This window comes from Homo sapiens, chromosome 11 (assembly GCF_000001405.40).
Source record: "Homo sapiens chromosome 11, GRCh38.p14 Primary Assembly".
Lineage (NCBI taxonomy): Eukaryota > Metazoa > Chordata > Mammalia > Primates > Hominidae > Homo > Homo sapiens.
Window position 1 is genome coordinate 5,456,929 of NC_000011.10, and position 22,482 is coordinate 5,479,410.

The 22,482-nt window shown below is 40.4% G+C and overlaps 1 protein-coding gene and 1 pseudogene across 2 annotated transcripts in view; both read right to left on the minus strand.

Moving 5' to 3' along the window:
• The window catches only part of OR51B5 (olfactory receptor family 51 subfamily B member 5), a 165,335-nt gene that overhangs the window by 116,611 nt on the left and 26,242 nt on the right, over nt 1-22,482 (minus strand). The gene's annotated exons all lie outside the window — the stretch shown is intronic.
• Nucleotides 11,576-12,431, minus strand: OR51A10P (olfactory receptor family 51 subfamily A member 10 pseudogene; annotated as a pseudogene).

Genomic DNA, 22,482 nt, shown 5'->3' on the forward strand with positions numbered 1-22,482 from the left:
CCTCCTCTGGACATCAGATGTGCCTGCTCCATCTTCACCTTCCACAGTGATTTTAAGTTTCCTGAGGCCTTCCCAGAAGCCGAGCCTATGCCAGCATCATGCTTCCCGTAAGCCTGCAGAACCATTATTTCTTTACAGCAATGTGAAAATGAATTAATACAGCATAGTACCCCAAAGGTAGTTTTTTGAACCCCATACTCTTCCCACAATGCCCCTTCAAGTAGGCCTGAGTGTCTGCTGTTCCTATCTTTGTGTCCATGTGTATTCAAAGTTTTACTCCCCCTTATATGTGAAAAGAGGTGGTTTTGGTTTTCTGTTCATGCATTAATTCACCTAGGATAATGGCCTCAAGCCGCATCCATGTAGCTGCAAAGGACATGATTTTGTTCTTTTTATGGCTACATAGTATTCCATGGTATATATGTACCACATTTTCTTTAACCAGTCCACTGCTGAAGGGCACCTTGATTTCATGTCTTTGCTATTGTGAATACTGCTGCAATGAACATACAAGCGTATGTGTCTTTTTGGTAGAATGATTTATACTCCTTTGGGTATATAGTAATAGGATTTTGGGGTCAATGGGTAGCTCTAAGTTATGTGAGAAATATCCAAACTTCTTTCCACAGTGGCTGAACTAATTTACATTCCCACCAACAGAGTATAAGTGTTCCATTTTCTCTGCAACCTCACCAGCATCTGTAATTTTTTTACTTTTTAGTAATAGTCATTTCTCACTGGTATGAGATGATATCTCATTGAGGTTTTCATTTGCATTTCTCTAATGATTAATAATGCTGAGCATTCCTTTATATGCTTGTTGGCCACGTATATGTCTTCTTTTGAGAAGGATATCTTTATGTCCTTTGCCCATTTTTAATGGAGTTATGTGTTTTACATGTTGATTTAAACTGTTTATAGATTCTGGATATTAGACATTTGTCAGGTCCATAGTTTGGAAGTATTCACTCCCATTCTGTATGTTGTCTATTCAGTCTATTGATAGCTTCTTTTGCTGTGCCAAAGGTCTTTAGTTTAATGAGTTCCTACTTGTATATTTTTGTTTTGTTGCAACGGCTTTTGGAGATTTCATCATGAAATATTTCCCAAGGCCTTTGTCCAGAATGGTATTTCCTAGGTTTTATTCTAGGATTTTTATAGTTTTAGTTATAATATTATGCTTAAGTTTTTAATTTATTTTGAATTGATTTTTGTGTATGATGAAAGGAAGAGGTCCAGTTTCAATCTACTGGGTATGGTTAGCCAGTTAGCCCAGCACTGTGTATTGAATAAGGAGTCTTTTGCCCACTCCTTGTTATTGTTGACTTTGTCAAAGATCAGATGGTTGTAGGTGTGTGGCTTTGTTTCTGGTTTCTCTAACCTGTTCCATTTGTCTATTTGTACCAGTAAAATGCTGCTTTGCTTACAGTAGCCTTATAGTATAGTTTGAAATCAGGTGATGTGATGCCTCTGGTTTTGTTATTTTTGTTTAGGAACGCTTTGGCTCTTTGCATTCTTTTTTGTTTGTTTTATATGAATTTTAGAATAGTTTCCCTAATTCTGAGAAGATGTTGGTAGTTTGATAGGAATAATGTTGAATCTCTGAATTGCTTTGGGCAGTGTGGTTATTTTAACAAAATTGATTCTTCCTATCCACGGGCATGAAATGTTTTCCCATTTGTTTGTGTCCTCTCTGATTTCTTTCAACAGTGCTTTGTAATTCTCATTGTAGAGATCATTCACCTGCACCGTTAACTGTAATCCTAGGTATTTTATTCTTTTTGTAACTATTTTGATTGGGACTGACTTCTTGATGTGGCTCTCAACTTGGATGTTATTGATATGTAGAAATGCTACTGATTTTTGTATATCAATTTGTCTTAAATTTTCGCTGAAATTGTTTATCAGATCTAGGAGCCTATAGGCAAAGACTATGGGATTTTCTAGGTATAGAAACATGTCATTTGAAAATAGGGATAGTTTAACTTCCTCTCTGCCCATTTGGATGCCTTTTATTTCTTTCTCTTGCTTGACGCTCTGGCTAGGACTTCCAATACTATGCAGAGTAAGAGTGGTAAAAGTGGACAGCCTTGCTTTGTTTCAGTTCTCAAAAGGAATGCTTCTAGCTTTTGCCCATTTAGTATGATGTTGGCTGTTAGTTTCTCATAGACAGTTCTTATTATTTTGAGGTATAATCCTTCAATACCTAGTTTATTGAGTGTTTTTAGTATAAAAGGATGCTGAATTATGTCAAAAGCCTTTTCTGTCTCTATTGAGATGGTTACATGGTCTTTGCTTTTAGTTCTGTTAAAGAGATGAATCACATTTATTGATCTGTGTAGGTTGAACCAGCCTTGCATCCCAGGAACATAAAGCGAACTTGCTTATAGGGGATTAGCTCTTTGATGTGCTGCTGGATTAAGTTTGCTAGCATTTTGTTGAGGATTTTTTTCATCTATTTTTATCAGGAATATTGGCCTGCTAGTTTCATCAGGAATATATTGTATCTCTGCCAGGTTTTGTTATCAGGATGACACTGGCCTCATAGAATGACTTTTGTCAGATGTATGCTTTGCAGATATTTTCTTCTGTGCTAAACAAATCTACAAGAAAATAAAAACCATTAAAAAGTGGGCAAAAGACATGAACAGACACTTCTCAAAAGAAGATATACAGGTGGCCAAGAAGCATGTGAAATAAAAGCCCAGTATCACTGATCTTTAGGGAAATGCAAGTCAAAACCACAATGGGATGCCATCTCCCATCAGTCTAAATGGCTAGTATTAAAAAGTCAAAAAAGAACAGATGCTGGCGAGGTTGTGGAGAAAAGGGAATGCTTATGCACTGTTGGTGGGAGTGTAAATTAGTTCAACCATTGTGGAAAGCAGTGTGGTGATTCCTCAAAGAGCTAAAAACAGGACAACCATTCAACCCATTAATCCTACTACTGGGTATATACCCAAAGGTATATAAATTGTTCTACCATAAAAACACATGTGTATGTTCACTGCAGCACTATTCCCAATAGCAAAGACATGGAATCAACCCAAATGCCCATCAATGGTATACTGGATAATGAAAATATCAAACATATACACCATGGAATTCTACACAGCAATAAAAAATAAAGCCATAAAAAATAAGATCATGAGATCATGTCCTTTTCAGAAACATGAATGGAGCTAAAGGCCATTATTCTTAGCAAACTAATGCAGAAACAGAAAACCACATGTTCTCACCTATAAGTGGGAGCTAAATGATGAAAACACATGGACACAGAGAAGGGAACAACAGATACTGGGGCCTACTGGAGGGTGAAGGATGTGAAGAGGGAGAGGATCAAAAAGAATTAACTATTGGGTACTAGGCATAGTACCTTGGTGACAAAATAATTTGTAGAATAAATTCCCATGACTCAAGTTTACCTATATAACAAACCTGCACATGTACCCTTGAACGTAAAAGTTTTGAAAAAAGAAATTCTTCTACTGAATTTTTTATTTCTAGAAGTTCAGTTTGGTTTGTTCTTAAAATGGCTGTGTCATCTTTCAACTCGAGTCATTTTACTGCTTTCCTTGAACTGTGTTTCAACCTTCTTCAGTATCTCATTGAGCTTCCTTGCCATCAGATTCTGAATTCTTTATCTGTCATTTTAGCCATTTCAATCAGGTTAAGAACCATTGCTGGGGGAGCTGGTTCAGTCACTGGTAGGTAAGACGACACTCTGGCCTTTAGAGTTACCAGAATTCTTTCCCTGGTTCTTTCTCTGCGTTGGCTGATGTTCCCTTAATCTTTGAAGTTGCTATCCTTTCAACAGGGCTTTTGCTTTCATATTCTTTGATGCCTTTGATGATTTAAATGTGATATAAGTTTGGTTTAGTTGATTGCCTTTGTTGGTAGATGCTTTCAAAGGGCCAAGGTTCAGCTCAGCACTCTTGGCCTACATGCTGTAACCCTGGGGGTCTGGGACCAAGCCTCTGGCTTTGTTTTCTGGCCTTTCGAGGTCAAGCACCTGTTGCACTGGAGGGGCCAAGGTGCTCCCAGCTCACTGGCAACAACACTCTGACAGGGGCTGCCAGCAAAAGAGCTGTGGCCAGGCAGTAGTTGAGGGGGAGATTGCCCTACGGCATGGTGGCATGGGGGCACGTGTGTGCTGGCTGCAGCTGGGGGGCTGCGTGTGAGGGTGCACAAGCGGATCACCCACTGATGGGGTGGCAAGTGAGGGCCCTGGTGAGTGCATGCCAATGGGATGACTGGGGTCCCCAGTGCTCATGTGCACTGCTCGGGCGATGGTGGGTCTTCCTATTCATGTTGAGAGGCTGCAGGCCAGGGGGTGGAGGCGAGGCGCGCCGGCGGGGAAGGCTGCAGGCAGGTGCACACCTGCAAGGATCTATCTGCAAAAGTGTTCCGAGGGCGGGGGTTGCTAGCAAAAGAGCTATGGCAGCAGCCACTGGCAAGCATTTTGGCAGGACAGCTGAGACTGCACTGCAAGCTGGTAAGGCCAGGTGGAGACCCTGGGAGAGGCTGGCAGACTGGGGCTCATTCAGATCAGACTTGCCCTGTCCCGTGGGCAAGAGAGCTCTGCTCTCTCCAGGTCTCCCTGCTAACTAAGGCTAAAGTCACCTACAGGAGTGTGGCAAGCTTTGGGGTAATGGGCATCCATGGCCATACTCCACTGCAGCCTTTCCCATGCCAAACCCCTTGGGCCTTGCACAGACTGGAGTTCTGTCTCTGTCAACTCTCTGGGCAGTTCTCCCTGCCAATTAAAATGCCCATGGGGATTGTGGGTTCTCCTGCAGGTAGGATCCTGAAGGTCTGTGGCAAGAGTGGGTCACTACATGCCTATGTTTCTCATCCCGTCCCTACCAGCACTCAGGGCCAGAAAGGAGTCCTGGTGCTCGACTACCCCATACAGGCTTTCCAGCTTCTGCCTGTTTCAGCATCCTCCTGTATCCACTCTGGATGCCTTCTTTCCGAAGATCTGTTCAGTGTGTGTTGGTCTCTTGATGATCTGGTCTCTTCATGGGAGAAGCTCCTCCTGGCTGTGGCTAGTTAACCATCATGGCTCTCTCCCCAATCAAAGAAAATTTGTACTTCTATTTTTTAGGCTCGTTAGGCCTTCCTCTAACAACACAAGAAAATCAAATACTGAACATAGGTTTAAGGTGTGTGGAAAAAATATGTGAATAATAAAGTAATGCTTTTGTCTTGCCCTGTCATGGGTATGTTTCTCGTCCTCCAGGGCCAGTGCTGGGTAGGTTGGTGAGGAGAGAGGGAGGAGACACTCAGAATAATTATAGTAGGATGAAATTCTTGCTCTCTCTGTTTCATGGGCAAGACCAACAGAAGGGTTAAGAGAACTAGAATCTAATGCAGAATGAAAAAAATACAAATCCATGTTGCTCAGAGTTTTATGGAATTAATTTCTGTGTGAACTCAGGGAAGAGGGGAAAGGCGAAAGGAGAACTTGGTAGAAGAGTGTATGTCCCTAGGATGGCTGACCATCAGCCTCATTTTCTGATTACCACAAAGAGGTCCTGACCTACCTCAATTAAGCCACCTACAGACCTGATGGGCTCTACTATGGCAAGAACTTCTTTGCTCTTGTGGTTATAGTTCAGTTGGATGAGAAGTTCTCTTCACCCAGATAGTGTTTTAAAAAACGACAAATGGCAGCAGAGGCACAGAGTTTATCCTCTGAGTTGAGTAATGTGCAGCAAGGGCACTTCCTCATCAGGAGGATATCCAATATTCCATTATCAACTGGACACTTTTCTACCTGGGCTGATGCACTACTTTGGACTCAGGACCCTCTGTTGTTTAATTTCATTCTCAGATAAGAAGTAATCTACTTGTAGGTGCTTGTACATTTGAACACAGGCAACCAGATGCCCTCCAGACAACTGAGGAGAGCATTTGCTCGTAAATGCTTTCAGGATTCCTAGAAACAGCATACAGTGTATGAAGTCATCAGTTACTTTGTGAATTCTCATCTTCCTAACATCAAAAAACTAATCAAGAATCTGTTCCAAAAAATTACCCTCTGCAGGGAATAGGAGGACTATTAAGCAAATAGTAACTCGACACTTATGTCAGAAATCAAGATTTGGTCTCATTGTTTTGTCGTATTAGGGGTAGGTGGGTGTGGTTTCATTCATATGTATAAAGGATTTTTCTTTGTTTCCATTATGCATGGAAGACTTCTCCGCCAAAAATATGTATGAAATAGAATAAATTATCCATTGAATAGGCAATTAATTAGTTCATTTGATTTGTACATGTACAATTCAGGCGTCAGTTGACAATAAATATTTGCACAAATAAATAGTTGCACAAGCCTCCAGTACTCTTCAAGTGTAAAGTATAATTGCCAGCCAAACTTTCTACAGATTTCTGGAGGCATGTGTAACTTATCCAAGGCATTGGTGTGTGATAGGCTTTATTAAAGGTATGGATGACATACTGATCTCAACTAATAGAAATGCAAACAGCAGTACTGGCTATCGGACCACCTTGATATATCATTTACTGCCAGCCATGTTAATCAAGATACTCTCCCTAAAGTGTTTCTCAACCTTCATTCTTCCTAGCAGAGATATTTCGTCACTATCTTTTACTCAATCCCAGTTTTAAAACACTGAAGATATTTTGGGGAGTGGATATAATTCTGGTGGTTATGTATTTTTCCTCCCAGCTTTGTTTAGGTTTTTGTTTGTTTGTTTATAAGGAATATAACAGCTCATTCATTTATTTTGTTCACAAGACAATATTTATTGAAACCTACTATTTGCCAATCCCAGTGTTACATTTGAAGGACTCAGTGACCCTGGGATTTAGTCATTAGGTTTTATGGGAGAAACCTGTCTAAAGAGATACAGGAGGGATATGTCAACATATCCTGAGATTTGTTTGCTAACCAAATATTCCTTTTAAAATGCTTTTAAATTCCTTCTCACAAAGCCTCACCATGATTTGAATGGCTGCACTGTGAGGGCAGTGTGTTACTGGTGGACGTGTTAATGTTCATGTCAACTGTATGAGGACAGAACAACAGCTTAGAACCAACCACAGTGCTATGTATTTAAGGCAAATACCCCAGAACTACAAGCTGGGGAAATTGCTTTTTTATGATGGAAAACAGACAATAAGCAACTATGACTGGCAGTCAGTTTTTAATTAGTCTTAATAGCTAAACCTAATGTCTCTGACTGGGACAAATTATTCAGTGAATTTTAAACAGAGTAGAACTTAATCATTTGCCAAGTGGGTTTTTCTATATTTGAAAAAGCAAATATATTGTGAACACAAAATGCATTGGGTGATTTTAACACAAAAATCTGAGAATTAGAAAGTTAAGGTTGATAATTTTTTAATTATACTTTAAGTTTTAGGGTACATGTGCACGTTGTGCAGGTTAGTTACATATGTATACATGTGCCATGCTGGTGCGCTGCACCCACTAACTCGTCATCTAGCGTTAGGTATATCTCCCAATGCTATCCCTCCCCCCCACCCACCCCACCATAGTCCCCAGAGTGTGATATTCCCCTTCCTGTGTCCATGTGATCTCATTGTTCAGTTCCCACCTATGAGTGAGAATATGTGGTGTTTGGTTTTTTGTTCTTGCGATAGTTTACTGAGAATGATGATTTCCAATTTCATCCATGTCCCTACAAAGGACATGAACTCATCATTTTTTATGGCTGCATAGTATTCCATGGTGTATATGTGCCACATTTTCTTAATTCAGTCTATCATTGTTGGACATTTGGGTTGGTTCCAAGTCTTTGCTATTGTGAATAATGCCACAATAAACATACGTGTGCATGTGTCTTTACAGCAGCAAGATTTATATTCCTTTGGGTATATACCCAGTAATGGGATGGCTGGGTCAAATGGTATTTCTAGTTCTAGATCCCTGAGGAATCACCACACTGACTTCCACAATGGTTGAACTAGTTTACAGTCCCACCAACAGTGTAAAAGTGTTCCTATTGGCTGGGCGCGGTGGCTCACGCCTGTAATCCCAGCACTTTGGGAGGCCGAGGCGGGCGGATCGCGAGGTCAGGAGATCGAGACCATCCCGGCTAAAACGGTGAAACCCCGTCTCTACTAAAAATACAGAAAATTGTCCGGGCGTAGTGGCGGGCGCCTGTAGTCCCAGCTACTTGGGAGGCTGAGGCAGGAGAATGGCGTGAACCCGGGAGGCGGAGCTTGCAGTGAGCCGAGATCCCGCCACTGCACTCCAGCCTGGGCGACAGAGCGAGACTCCGTCTCAAAAAAAAAAAAAAAAAAAAAAAAAGTGTTCCTATTTCTCCACATCCTCTCCAGCACCTGTTGTTTCCTGACTTTTTAATGATTGCCATTCTAACTGGTGTGAGATGATATCTCATTGTGGTTTTGATTTGCATTTCTCTGATGGCCAGTGATGGTGAGCATTTTTTCATGTGTTTTTTGGCTGCATAAATGTCTTCTTTTGAGAAGTGTCAAGCTACCAATGACTTTCTTCACAGAATTGGAAAAAACTACTTTAAAGTTCATATGGAACCAAAAAAGAGCCCCCATCACCAAGGCAATCCTAAGCCAAAAGAACAAAGCTGGAGGCATCACACTACCTGACTTCAAACTATACTACAAGGCTACAGTAACCAAAACAGCATGGTACTGGTACCAAAACAGAGATATAGATCAATGGAACAGAACAGAGCCCTCAGAAATAACGACGCATATCTACAACTATCTGATCTTTGACAAACCTGAGAAAAACAAGCAATGGAGAAAGGATTCCCTATTTAATAAATGGTGCTGGGAAAACTGGCTAGCCATATGTAGAAAGCTGAAACTGGATCCCTTCCTTACACCTTATACAAAAATCAATTCAAGATGGATTAAAGACTTAAACGTTAGACCTAAAACCATAAAAACCCTAGAAGAAAACCTAGGCATCACCATTCAGGACACAGGCATGGGCAAGGACTTCATGTCCAAAACACCAAAAGCAATGGCAACAAAAGACAAAATTGAGAAATGGGATCTCATTAAACTAAAGAGCTTCTGCACAGCAAAAGAAACTATCATCAGAGTGAACAGGCAACCTACAAAATGGGAGAAAATTTTTGCAACCTACTCATCTGACAAAGGGCTAATATCCAGAATCTACAATGAACTCAAACAAATTTACAAAAACAAACAACCCCATCAAAAAGTGGGCGAAGGTTGATAATTTATCATTTACGTAGACGACAATACACTGTAAAATATTTATATTACCAGTTTGAACAAATATATTTTATTTCATAAAGATGAGGCTTTTTTCATAAGTCTGTTAATTAGGGAATTAGGCAATACTCATTAGACAATAGTAAAACTATATCTATATTTACATATATGTGATGATATAAATGATAGGAATACTTTTTAGTGTTGCAGAAGTACTCGCTCTTCCCATTCATATGCCTTATTATGAGAATTCCCAATTTTACTGTGGAAATGAAAGGACGCATTTTTTAAAAGCCTAAAAAATATTGAAGTCAGTAATGTGGTTTCTGATATTTAGATGCAGACACTGAAATGTTAGCATTAATAAAAAAAAGACTTGAAACAAAAAGGAGGGAGATTGCTATCATCAGCATGGCCCTGAGCGCCATGGATTCATCTTTGTCATTGATGTCTTTTATTTTTGCTCATAACTGTGTATAGAATTAGCACATATCTCTTTTTTGTCTCTCTATATAAGTAAGTATAGCTTTCTGGGATGACTTGTGGGATCCTCTGAAGGGAGAGGCAATGGCAGAGTAGCTTTTATAGCTTTGCAGCTCTAGGGGTCCCTCTGTTGCTGTTCAAATGGCTCAAAGTAGCACTTTCTTTGAGGCCACTTCTGTGTGTCAGAGCGAAGTCTGGTCCAGGAGGACATTCTGCTTCCTTCTGTTCCAGCCCCAGAACGCCACAGGTTTTGGGAAGCTGTATTTAGCTGTTGCATCACTTTCTTGTGTCTGCTTTCTCTAAGCCCTTTCCTCTACGATCAGAGCCTTCTTTCTCTCTTATGCAAGTGGATCTTTATTTGCTTAATGTACTTTCCTTTGGGCTGAGGCTATATCCTTTTGGAAGAGCTCATTTGCTGGACATTTTTGAGATTTTCAAATGCTGAGGACCACCACAGCACTTCTTTATCCTCTTATGTTTATGAGCACTTAGAGCCTGCAAGTATTGTTCCCAGTTTCACCAGTCAATCTCAAAACCATATGCCCAGATTTTTGCTTAGTATACAGTCCTCTCCAATTGGGGGCAAGATTTTTCTGTCATGTGATTTTGCCAAAGATGTCATCTGTAAGTTTTAATTTTGTTTTGCTTTTCTCTCCTCGTTGCTTAATGAGACGTTCAGGGGGTGTTTGGGAGAAATTCAAGTCTATACTGCAACTATGTTTAGTAAATGATCATGTTATTTGATCCCTATGGCTTTATTTTAAAAAAGTTATTCCATGATCCTATGAGGAAAAAAAATTATTAGCTATTGCTTTTTAAAAAGTAATTTTCTTCTTACATGTCTTCATTCCCTAATCATCCATTGGAGTTGAGTTATGCCATGGCCTGTCCACTAACTGTTTACTCTCCAGTTAAAGTCCACATATCATTCTTTTTAAATCTGTTAAGTGTGCACCTGCCTGTGTGGCCTGGGTTGTGTCTTCTTGGCATGGTTTTTCAGAGGATTTCTTTCTTTGTGGCTTTCTCTGTGAATTTGCTGACAGCCTTCAGCTATCCCTCTTCTGCTCAGGCATGTGCTTAAGCTTGTTGTCTGGGTTGCTCACTGCAGGACACGAGCCCATATTTCAGCCAACTATGCTGCCAAGCAACCACTGCCACTGAAGTGGACTTGCCAGCCCATCAATCAACAACCTCTGTTAGGCTTCGATTTGGAGTGTTGATTAGCTGCCTCTAGTCATTCAATCCTCTCTGTAGTCATGCCCAATGATGACAGCATGTGACTTTTCTATAAAACATTTTTCTTTGTACTAAACTTCTGAATTCCATGTGTTGTATGGTTTCTATTTTTGTTCCATTTTACAGAACTCTGGATTATTCTTATTTATTTCAGAAGTGTAAACATGGTCACAGCTATTACATATCTTTAGTTTTTGAGTTTAAAGATATTCAGAATGATTAAATATTCTGGGTTGATATGATCTCAGGTAACATAATCTACATTATAACATTATATAACGAATGTATGCATTAGTTTTTGTCTGTTTCTGAGAATTACTTGAAAGCATAGATGTTATTAGTACATTGGGACAAAAAGGATTCAGTTCAAGACTCTCTTTCTTGTTGGGTCTGAGAGAAGTCACTTGTGGCAACCTGTGACAGTTAATTACAACATAGGGCAGCCTGATGTTTTGCGTTACAAGTTGTAGCCTGGCTAACCCATATAACTTCTGGCAGGTACACAATTATAGGTGTACGTCTGGAGGGAGATTGAAAGGCTCCGAAGGACTAACCTGGTACACCCAAACATCAGCAACAACAAAGAAACTCTAAGCCTTTCCAGGACAGTTTTCCTTGATCAGAACTTAGCTCCCAATAACATCTTGTGTAGTCTCCTGCGAATCTCCTTAGTCTTGATGGAATAGATAATTGGGTAGAGCATTGGAGGTACAAAGAGACATGAACTTGTGCACATATTCAGGAGCATGCCTCCCAAATCGATGAACCATGGACACACTAACCATAGGCACATAGAAGATCAGCACTGCATAGATATGTGACACACATGTGTTGAGTGTCTTAAGCCTCTCACCCCTGGAGGCAATGGCCAGCACAGAATGTAGAATGAGCACATAGGAGAGGAGGATGAGCAGTGAATCTACACCAAAGGCAGAGATGACAATGAACAGGCCATACATGCTGTTGATGGTAGTGTCTCCACAGGGCAGCCGAATCAGGTCTGCATGCAGACAGTAGGAATGGGCCAGTACCACACTGGCCTTACAGAAAGGCAGTCTCTTCAGGAGGAAGGGAAGTGGGAATACCATGCAGAAGCTGCGGATGACAATGGATATGCCATTGTGGGCCACACGGACATCAGTGAGCACTGTGGCATAGCGCAGCGGGTTACAGATGGCCACATAGTGGTCAAAACTCATGGCCAGTAGGATGCCAAACTCTGTCCAGGAGGAAAAGTGGATGAAGAACGTCTGGGCCAGGCAGGCATCAAAAGTTGTCTCTGGGGCATGAAAACACACAGCAGCCAGTACAGTGGGCAATGTAGAAAAGGACACACCCAGGTCATTAACAGAAAAAAGAGACAGGAAGTAGTACATTGGCTGGTGCAAGCTCTGCTCTTCCTTTATGATAAAGAGGATGAGGATGTTGCCCAGGAAGGAAATAGCACAAAGCAGCAGCAGAAGGGCAGCCAGCCAGTGCTCCAGACCCTTCATCTCAGGGAAGCCTGTTAGAGTGAAGCTGGTAGTACTTGAGATGTTAGTCCCAAAGCCCCCCATCAGGGTTTCTGAGTGACTTTTAGGCAAACGCAACCTGGGTGAATTGAGGTGAGATGGTGGGAGAAGTGAAGACTAGGAGTGGTTGATATCTAAAACTAGGAGAGACAATGATGCTTAGATTCCAGTGCCAAAGATTTGGAAAGTTCAAAAAAAACCAGATTACATTTCAGACCTTCTATAGCCTGGCAGCACCCTTAGATCTGTCATGAGCTCCAGGTTCTTCCCCATAGAAACCTTTGACTAATTTTTAGATATTATCCTTTATTTTTCTTGTGTCTATATAGTTTTTTACATTGGTTGACGTCTTTCTCTAATGGTGAAAAATGATTTCCCCTTTCTCTCTACTGGGTCATAGCCATCAGTTTCTTCCATAAGTGAGGTGCACCATGTCCTCCATGAAGTCTTTCCTTAATATTCCCACCCACTGATTGATTCTGTCTTGTGCAAGTGATGACATCTTTTGTGTATATTCTAAGCTGTCTCTCCTCTCTTGCCTATACTCAAGCATTATTTCAGTTCTCTGCCTTTTCCTTGTGGCTTGAACCCCTCACTTATTCACCAAGGGTCCAGAATGTCACATTCCTCCACACCTGACTCTCTTGGTTTTGCCTTTCTATATTTTAACATGGATTTTGTTTTAATCTCTGTTTAGACCACAGATTCTCAAATTGTGCTGTATGCTAGATTATTTTAAGAAGCATTAAAATATTCCTTTCCTCAGAAGAAACCTATACCAATTAAATTTGACACTGTGCAAGTAGAACTCACAAATCAGCATGTGTTTAAACTCATAGGCAATTCCCGTGTGCAGCCAAGTGTGAGTATCAGGAATTTAGGTCACTCCTATCAGCATTCAAATATGTCCCACCCATTATCACTTCTTCCCCCCGAGGATCAATTTTGGGAGTTACTATCGTAGAAAACAAACAATCACAAACTTCAGCAAACCTCTTAATTGCCCCCTCATTTCTTCTGAGTAATCACCCATTTTCCACTCACTTTCACAACTAATACCTTGGAAATTATTGTCTACCCATAATGTCCTCCATGTCTCTGCTCTGTGCCTCAATTATCCCAAATATATGTCTGCTGCCCAGGCTTCTCTTCTCAATATGTATTCACGCAGCCAATTTCCAACTGGACTTCCAAATGTAAGAGTTCATTGTCATCTTAAACATAATGTGCAAAATTGAACTTTATGTCAATTATCATGTTTTATCCTCTTCAAAGTTATCATCTCATCACCAGTCACCATCTATTCACGTGGTCATGCCAGAAAACCCTGGAAGTCATTCTTAATATTTCTCACCCTCTCCTATTTACAAGTCTATTAATCCATCGTAAACGCTGGTTTCCTCTCTCCATCTCACTTCCAACTGTCACTCATCCCTCAACATCTTCAACCAAAATATCTGCAGAACCTTCCTGAGGATCACCCAGCTTAGTATCATGCCTCTGTCTAATTCATTCGACACAAAGCAACCAAATTATTTGTTTTTAATATAAAGTGATGTTACTCTTTTACTAGAAACCTATCAATGGCTTCACTTACCTTATGAAATAAGAAATAAAAATTCAAGTCCTTACCATGGATCATAGAAGCTGCAAGACCACATAAGAACTTGTCGTCTTCCAATAATTCTGATCATTCATTTCATTTCTTCTCATAATTTTGGCTGCTGTACATACTCACACATATTCTTCTTTGTGACTTTTCTTATCACAGCTTAAATTTTAGTGCATTTATTATGTACTTGTTTAGTTATTTGATTAGTATCTTTGTTTCCCCAAAAATTTATAACTCCCTGTAACTGTCTGTGTTTCTTCTCATTTTATTCTCAATGCTTAGGCAAGTGACAGGGCATAGAGAGCCCTAGACTAGGACTCAGAGATTACCAGTTCTAGTTTTAATGGTTAAAATATTGATCAAATAGGCCAGGTACAGTGGCTCATACCTGTAATCCCAGCACTTTGGGAGGCCGAGGCAGGTGGATCACGAGGTCAGGAGTTTGAGACCAGCCTGGACAACATGGTGAAACCCCGTCTCTACTAAAAATATAAAAACTACCCAGGCGTGGTCACACATGACTGTAATCCCAGTTACTCGGGAGTCTGAGGCAGTAGAATCCCTTGAACTCGGGAAGTGGAGGTTGCAGTGAGCTGAGATCGCACCATTGCACTCCAGCCTGGGTGACAGAGCAAGACTCTGTCTCAAAAAAAAAAAAAAAATTGATCAAATAAAACATTTTATTAACAGGAAGAATGTATTAACATAAGAGCTACATGTTTTTACTGTAAAATTGTTTAGGTAAGTAAAAATAGCTCCCCTAGCATCTAATAACTGAGTTTTTATTTCACTTTTGCTACATACAAGCTGTGAATTTACTTAGCTTCCTCACGTCTTATTTTCACATCTCTAGAATAGAAAGAGTAATGCAAAGTAAACATTGAAGGTGCTTATTCAGACTCCCGGCACAAGATGTACTGAATAAATGGCAACTAGGAAAGTTGTGATAAAGAGGGACATTGAGGGGCTGAAAGTTCCGGATCCCATCTCCAAACTGTCTTCCCACATTCAGTTTCCCAATCAAAGGTTCCCTTCTTTTGTTTCACCATTTTATCCACCATCTATGAGAATATTGGCATATGAGTTAATCGCACTGAGGCATTCACACCAAACAAAGGCTTCAGAAGATGCACCTCTGAGCCAGAGCTGTACACGCTCAGAACCACACAGTGAAGCTCCAAGCACGAAGCCAGCATAGTGGCAGTTCAGGCACCAACTAGATGGGGGATGTGCATGTGGGGAGAGAAATGGAGTGTAGGAAAATAAAAATTACCTTAAATCACAGACTGTCTCTCCTTCAAATCCCTGTACCCTAATCACTAAAGGATTTCGAAGCTATGAAGGAGGTGCCTGAGGGCCTCTGTGGGGGAAGAGATGAGGTCCCCACTTACCTCCTCAGGGTAGCTCTGGTGGGTGGGAGGAGAGAGGCTGGTGAAGTGTCCACTGAAGGGAGAAATACCAAGTACTGCACACACTGCACACAGCCCCACTGCCAGCCTCCACCCACTCCCTGCTCTGAGCTCTATAAAGCTGCGTCTTCAGAGTCCCCTGGTTCTGCTAAGTCCAAGGGCTCCAAGAGGTAGCTGGGCAGCAGGGATTCTAAAAAATCTTGAGTGAAGGACTCCTCTGTGCTCTGCCATTTCTCCCACTTAGAAGTTTCAAAGGAATTGAGAATGAAGACTGGCTTGTCCTGAAGTGATCAACATTTTCAGCTCCTCATTTTGTAGGAGAGCTGACGCCCAGGAAGAATCCATTCAGTAAGCCAATAACAGAGCTGAACTGAATCCTAGACCACTGATTCTCACTGATTCTCAGATTAGGGTTCTTTCCAGTAAGCATACCACAACTTAAATGCATTTCAAGAAGTCAAAGGGCACAACGGAGAGGAGCCTAATTATTTAGAGTCATCAAATAAGGTGACCATCCTTGTTTGCCCCATCCTGTACTGGTTTTAACACTGAAAGTCCCGCATTAGGAGAAACTCCTCAGTTTTGGCAAGCTGATAACAACTTGCCACCCTACTGCCAGACCTGGATTCAAAACAAGCTCCTTCCCTGTCTAAATGAATGTCATTAAGAAAATTAGTTGATATGTTCATGTTTCAAATTCCTTATTTGTAAAATGATACACAAATTCCTACACATCTTGGCATATTTGAAACAGTATCACATTGTAAACACTTATTAAACAAGAACTATCATAAAGACTTGCCAATTTTTTATATGCCAGAAAAAAAATCTTGAATAAGGGGTGCAAATGCCTGTTGACTCTGGAGTTTTGGAGGAGTCTGAGGGGTGTTTGACTTTTAAGAAACTAATGTAAGGGTCTTAAATTTTGTAAAAGGATGTCGGGGCCATCTTGTATCACATTCAACCTTTCATAATGAAGAAATGAAGGCTTTAAGGGGTAAGAAGCTTGCTGATATGCACAGACAAATTATTTAAAGAGTTAGAAATTGTACAGAGTTCAAACAGTGTTAGATAATTATAATTATCCTGATGCAGACCCAAATTATCTGCATTTATCTTGGCTGAAGAGTTAATGTGAGAACAATATTTATTTACTAAGTATCTGTGATTCTGCTAGGTTTTTTGACACAGTTAGCTCATTTAGTTATCAGTGAAAACCTTATGAATACATTTTATCATACTTGAAAGCAATATGGAATTATTTAATGGAAAAATAAGCATACACATTTAGAGCATCAGAAGAGTATTCAAATTCTTTATAAATATATGTGTGTAATATTTGATGCCTTAAAACACATCAAAGACTTCCTCATGAAAAACTAGAACTTCATTGGAAATTTTACAACTGTTTTAAATTATAGGACAAAAAATTTAATTGTTTTAAATTACAAAATGAGTGTGTGTGTGTGTGTGTGTGTGTGTAAATGTGTGCATGAGAATGGGGAGAGAGTGTGCACGGGAAAGTACCTGTAGTTACTAGGAAATGAGAAAAATAAGTCTGCCTTCTTAGAATTCATCAGTAATTCCATCACAAGACATCAGAAGAGGGACATAAAAAGACACCCTTATAGGAAACAATGATTCCCAAACATTTGAGATTTGACTGATTTAACCTAATTACAAATATAAGCCATGGAAAATAATTACTATTTATTGATGACCAAGCACATACCATAAACTTACAACAATCTTCATATGCATTATTTAATATTCAAAGCACCTATGAGTATTTTTATTCACCTTTTGTAGATGAAATATCTGAAATTCAAAGAGATTACACAACTTGCCATATCATAAAATTATTGGTTGAGAAAAGATTTCATTTCAATCCAGGATTAAAATTCATGATTATAAACAGATGTACTCCCCCCAACACACACACATAAAATCACCACTTACAGGAGGAGATAAAGGCGAACAACACAAGAGACTTGAAGGACAACAATAATCAAGCAGGTCTATAGAGAAGACCCTACTAGCCTGCTAAGTACCATGATTTAATGAACTGTTTTTTAACAAATTAATAATTTAACCAATTAATAAATTGTTTTTGGAGATTGATATTTATCTATCCAAACTTAAGACACGAAATTTTTGAATTTTGTAGTTAAGCCTTTTCCTCTTGTTTGTTGTTTACCCAGAAATATAATCATGATATGTTTCTCCCCAGGTAGTGTTTACTATTCAAGTTGACAAGATAATTTGTGCCAATGCAATAATTCTATTTCTCATTGGAAATTAATAACATCACACATACATTTCAATGTGTTGGTTAGTGTAAACTCATCTTTGAGAGAAAAAACCACGCTGAAGGAGGTGCTCAGGTATGACAGTGAACAGGATAAGCATTTTCTCAAATCTCACAGTGATCAGGACAACAGGCTAAACAAATAATTACATGCATTAATTTGCTTTAGAGAGTAAGTTTGGGGTGGTAGGAATAGGAACCACTTTAATGGAGAAGAACTAAAATAATCTGGAAAATTAGTTTAATTGAGACCAGAAAGATAAACTAGAAATGGCCAGATAAAAGGAGGAGTAAGCTCAATAAATAGGTGTTTGACTTATGAACTCTACTTGCAAAAATATTATATCCTTTTGGATCCAAATCCTGAATATTTTTCTGCTTTACTGACGTCTTACCAGTCCTACAGTCACTCTCTAGACCCAAATATCAACATTTCAATAACATCTTAATGGACTTCCCCACATTATTCAGCCCTCTTCTAATTCATTCTCCATATTACATCAATATTAAGTCAACTTTCATCATGCTATTTTCATGATGATAAAATCCGAACACTCATATTGCCTGTAAAACACTGTGTAATATGATCTTCATTTTCAACTTTACATTGAATATATTCAATCATTGTTCTCTTGTTCTGTTCCAACCAAAATGACCTCCTTTCAGTTCCTCGAAGATGCAAGGATCACTCCAACCTCAAGGCCTTAACAAATGCTGTTTCACATGTCCTGGAAGCTTTTCCCCATGCACTTTCCCTTCACTGGGCTAGTTATTTATCCACCAACTCTTGGTGGATATTAAATATTATTTAAATATTACTGCCTTATGGATCCCCCTAACCCCTTAGCCTGAATGAGGATCTACTAATACTTACATAACATTCTCTAGTGATCTTGTCTAACATCTTGCAGAGTTATGATTAAATGATCTAACATAAATGGAAAAGTATGCATTTATTGCCTTTCTTCTATGTTATTATGTAAATTCCATGAAACATGACCATCTCTCCTATTCTTTAATATATTCAAGGCACCCAGCATGATGTTTAGCAAATATTAGGCATACAACTAATATTTTTGCCATAACCAAAACCATCAGCATAACAGCATCAGCATTCCTTCCACAAGCTTTTGCAAAATTGGATGACACACATGGTAGGGTACATGTGACTAGCATACACCTATTCAACCTATGTTTCTTTGCCATTGTATCTAGATCCATAGCAGCCTCACAGTACCATCTTGTAGCATGGACCACACTGGAGGCTTGATTCTTTTTAGATGAAACTGAATTCCAGTCCAAACCCTCTCTTCATGCCTCACATAAAATCCTCATAAAGTGATTTACTCACTTTTCTACCTTAATTAATCCAAGTCCATGCGCAGTAGAGAAATCTTTAGCTCTATAGGCTGTGTTAGAGAATCCTTTTCTTGGATACCACAGACAGTAATCATGACATCTCAGTGGATTATAACTATTTCCCCCCAGTAATAACATTCATGTATACTTATTGAGAGCTTTATGTGTTGACTAATTCTATAAACTCGTTTAAATTTGAAAACATTATGAAACAGATTCATATTTTGCATATCAAAATGGAGCCACTGTGAGTTAAATAACTTATCTATAGTCACAAATCACACAAGTGACAACACCAGCATTTGAACCTAGGTACTCTTAGCTGTTATGCTGTATGGCCACAAGGGGGCACTCAGAGGGTAAATGCCTGTTTGTATCATACTCCAAGGATTCCCTTCCATGCTGAAGGGGTCTGACATGTTTAGGTGCCCAAAAAATAGTCACTGGATGAAAGAATGAGCCTCCTTTGTGACTTGGTATCTCTTAGGTCTCCAGCCTAAACTGAGACCATCAGTATTTCATGTATTTACACTGAACAAGCCGATAAGAGGAAGGACAAGAACTGTAAGACTTTTCACAGTGATGTCACCAACCCAAAATAATACCAGTCTTGGATTTGGGATTCAGACTATGTGAGTTTCATCTTCTGTTCTTTGACTTACTAGTTGTGTTATCCTAGACAAGTTACTTAATCTGTTCTTTACACTTCAGTGTCTTCAGCTGTAAAACAAGAATAATATTTTACCTATATCATTAGCTTGCTGATATGTTACAGAGTTAGATAGCTAACTAGCTAGGTAAAGTAAAATATCCTCTGAAGTTTACCTAGCACATTAACAGGCCATCGAAAAACAGGAAGATATTGGTCAAAAGGTACAAAGTTTCCGTTATACAAGATGAATAAGTCCTAAAGATCTACTGTACAAAATAATGCCTATAGTTAACAATACTGTTTTGTATATTTTAAAATGTGCCGAGAGGGTAGATCTTAAGTGTTTTCATCATCATAAATAAATAGAGTGGGAAGGAACTTTTAGAGGTGATGTATATGTTTATGATATGGATTGTAGTGATGGTTTCATGGCTGTATACTTATATCCAAACTCATCAACTGAATTTCGTGAGCGCCAGGGGAGATGAGTCTCTTGGGGGCCCCATGAGTAGTGATGGTGGGCCCTTTGCAGCCAATAACCACATCTGGAGAAAATGGCTCTGACAGGAAAGAGAAACACTTATCCCTTGAGATGAGCACAGAGGTGCACTTGGAGAGCACCTCAGTGGGGAACCAGTGGGCACCACAATCCTACCGGTCACCTTGAGGCTCACCTCCTTGAAGCTCCCAGGTTCATTCCTGGGAGCATTCCTGCCTGCATTCATCTCAAAATCTATCCTCTTTCTGTCTCAGTTTATTACAAACCTAATTTATATGTATTGGGGGAGGAGCCAAGATGGCCAAATAGGAACAGCTCCGGTCTACAGCTCCCAGCATGAGCAACGCAGAAGACGGGTGATTTCTGCATTTCCATCTGAGGTACCGGGTTCATATCACTAGGGAGTGCCAGACAGTCGGCGCAGGTCAGTGGGTGCGCGCACCGTGCGCGAGCCGAAGCAGGGTGAGGCATTGCCTCACTTGGGAAGCACAAGGGGTCAGGGAGTTCCCTTTCCGAGTCAAAGAAAGGGGTGACGGACGCACCTGGAAAATCGGGTCACTCCCACCTGAATATTGCGCTTTTCGGACTGGCTTAAAAAACGGCGCACCATGAGATTATATCCCGCACCTGGCTCGGAGGGTCCTACGCCCACGGAGTCTCCCTGATTGCTAGCACAGCAGTCTGGGATCAAACTGCAAGGCAGCAGGGAGGCTGGGGAGGGGCGCCCGCCATTGCCCAGGCTTGCTTAGGTAAACAAAGCAGCCGGGAAGCTCCAACTGGGTGGAGCCCACCACAGCTCAAGGAGGCCTGCCTGCCTCTGTAGGCTCCACCTCTGGGGGCAGGGCACAGACAAACAAAAAGACAGCAGTAACCTCTGCAGACTTCAATGTCCCTGTCTGACAGCTTTGAAGAGAGCAGTGGTTCTCCCAGCAAGCAGCTGGAGATCTGAGAACGGGTAGACTGCCTCCTCAAGTGGGTCCCTGACCCCTGAACCCCGAGCAGCCTAACTGGGAGGCACCCCCCAGCAGGGGCATACTGACACCTCACACGGCAGGGTATTCCAACAGACTTGCAGCTGAGGGTCCTGTCTGTTAGAAGGAAAACTAACAAACAGAAAGGACATCCACACCAAAAACCCATCTGTACATCACCATCATCAAAGACCAAAAGTAGATAAAACCACAAAGATGGGGAAAAAACAGAACAGAAAAACTGGAAACTCTAAAAAGCAGAGCACCTCTCCTCCTCCAAAGGAATGCAGTTCCTCACCAGCAACGGAACAAAGCTGGATGGAGAATGACTTTGACGAGCTGAGAGAAGAAGGCTTCAGACGATCAAATTACTCTGAGCTACGGGAGGACATTCAAACCAAAGGCAAAGAAGTGGAAAACTTTGAAAAAAATTTAGAAGAATGTATAACTAGAATAACCAATACAGAGAAGTGCTTAAAGGAGCTGATGGAGCTGAAAACCAAGGCTCAAGAACTACGTGAAGAATGCAGAAGCCTCAGGAGCCGATGCGATCAACTGGAAGAAAGGGTATGAGCAATGGAAGATGAAATGAATGAAATGAAGCGTGAAGGGAAGTTTAGAGAAAAAAGAATAAAAAGAAATGAGCAAAGCCTCCAAGAAATATGGGACTATGTGAAAAGACCAAATCTACGTCTGATTGGTGGACCTGAAAGTGATGAGGAGAATGGAACCAAGTTGGAAAACACTCTGCAGGATATTATCCGGGAGAACTTCCCCAATCTAGCAAGGCAGGTCAACGTTCAGATTCAGGAAATACAGAGAACACCATAAAGATACTCCTCGAGAAGAGCAACTCCAAGACACATAATTATCAGATTCACCAAAGTTGAAATGAAGGAAAAAATGTTAAGGGCAGCCAGAGAGAAAGGTCGGGTTACCCTCAAAGGGAAGCCCATCAGACTAACAGCGGATCTCTCGGCAGAAACCCTACAAGCCAGAAGAGAGTGGGGGCCAATATTCAACATTCTTAAAGAAAAGAATTTTCAACCCAGAATTTCATATCCAGCCAAACTAAGCTTCATAAGTGAAGGAGAAATAAAATACTTTACAGACAAGCAAATGCTGAGAGATTTTGTCACCACCAGGTCTGCCCTAAAAGAGCTCCTGAAGGAAGCACTAAACATGGAAAGGAACAACCGGTACCAGCTGCTGCAAAATCATGC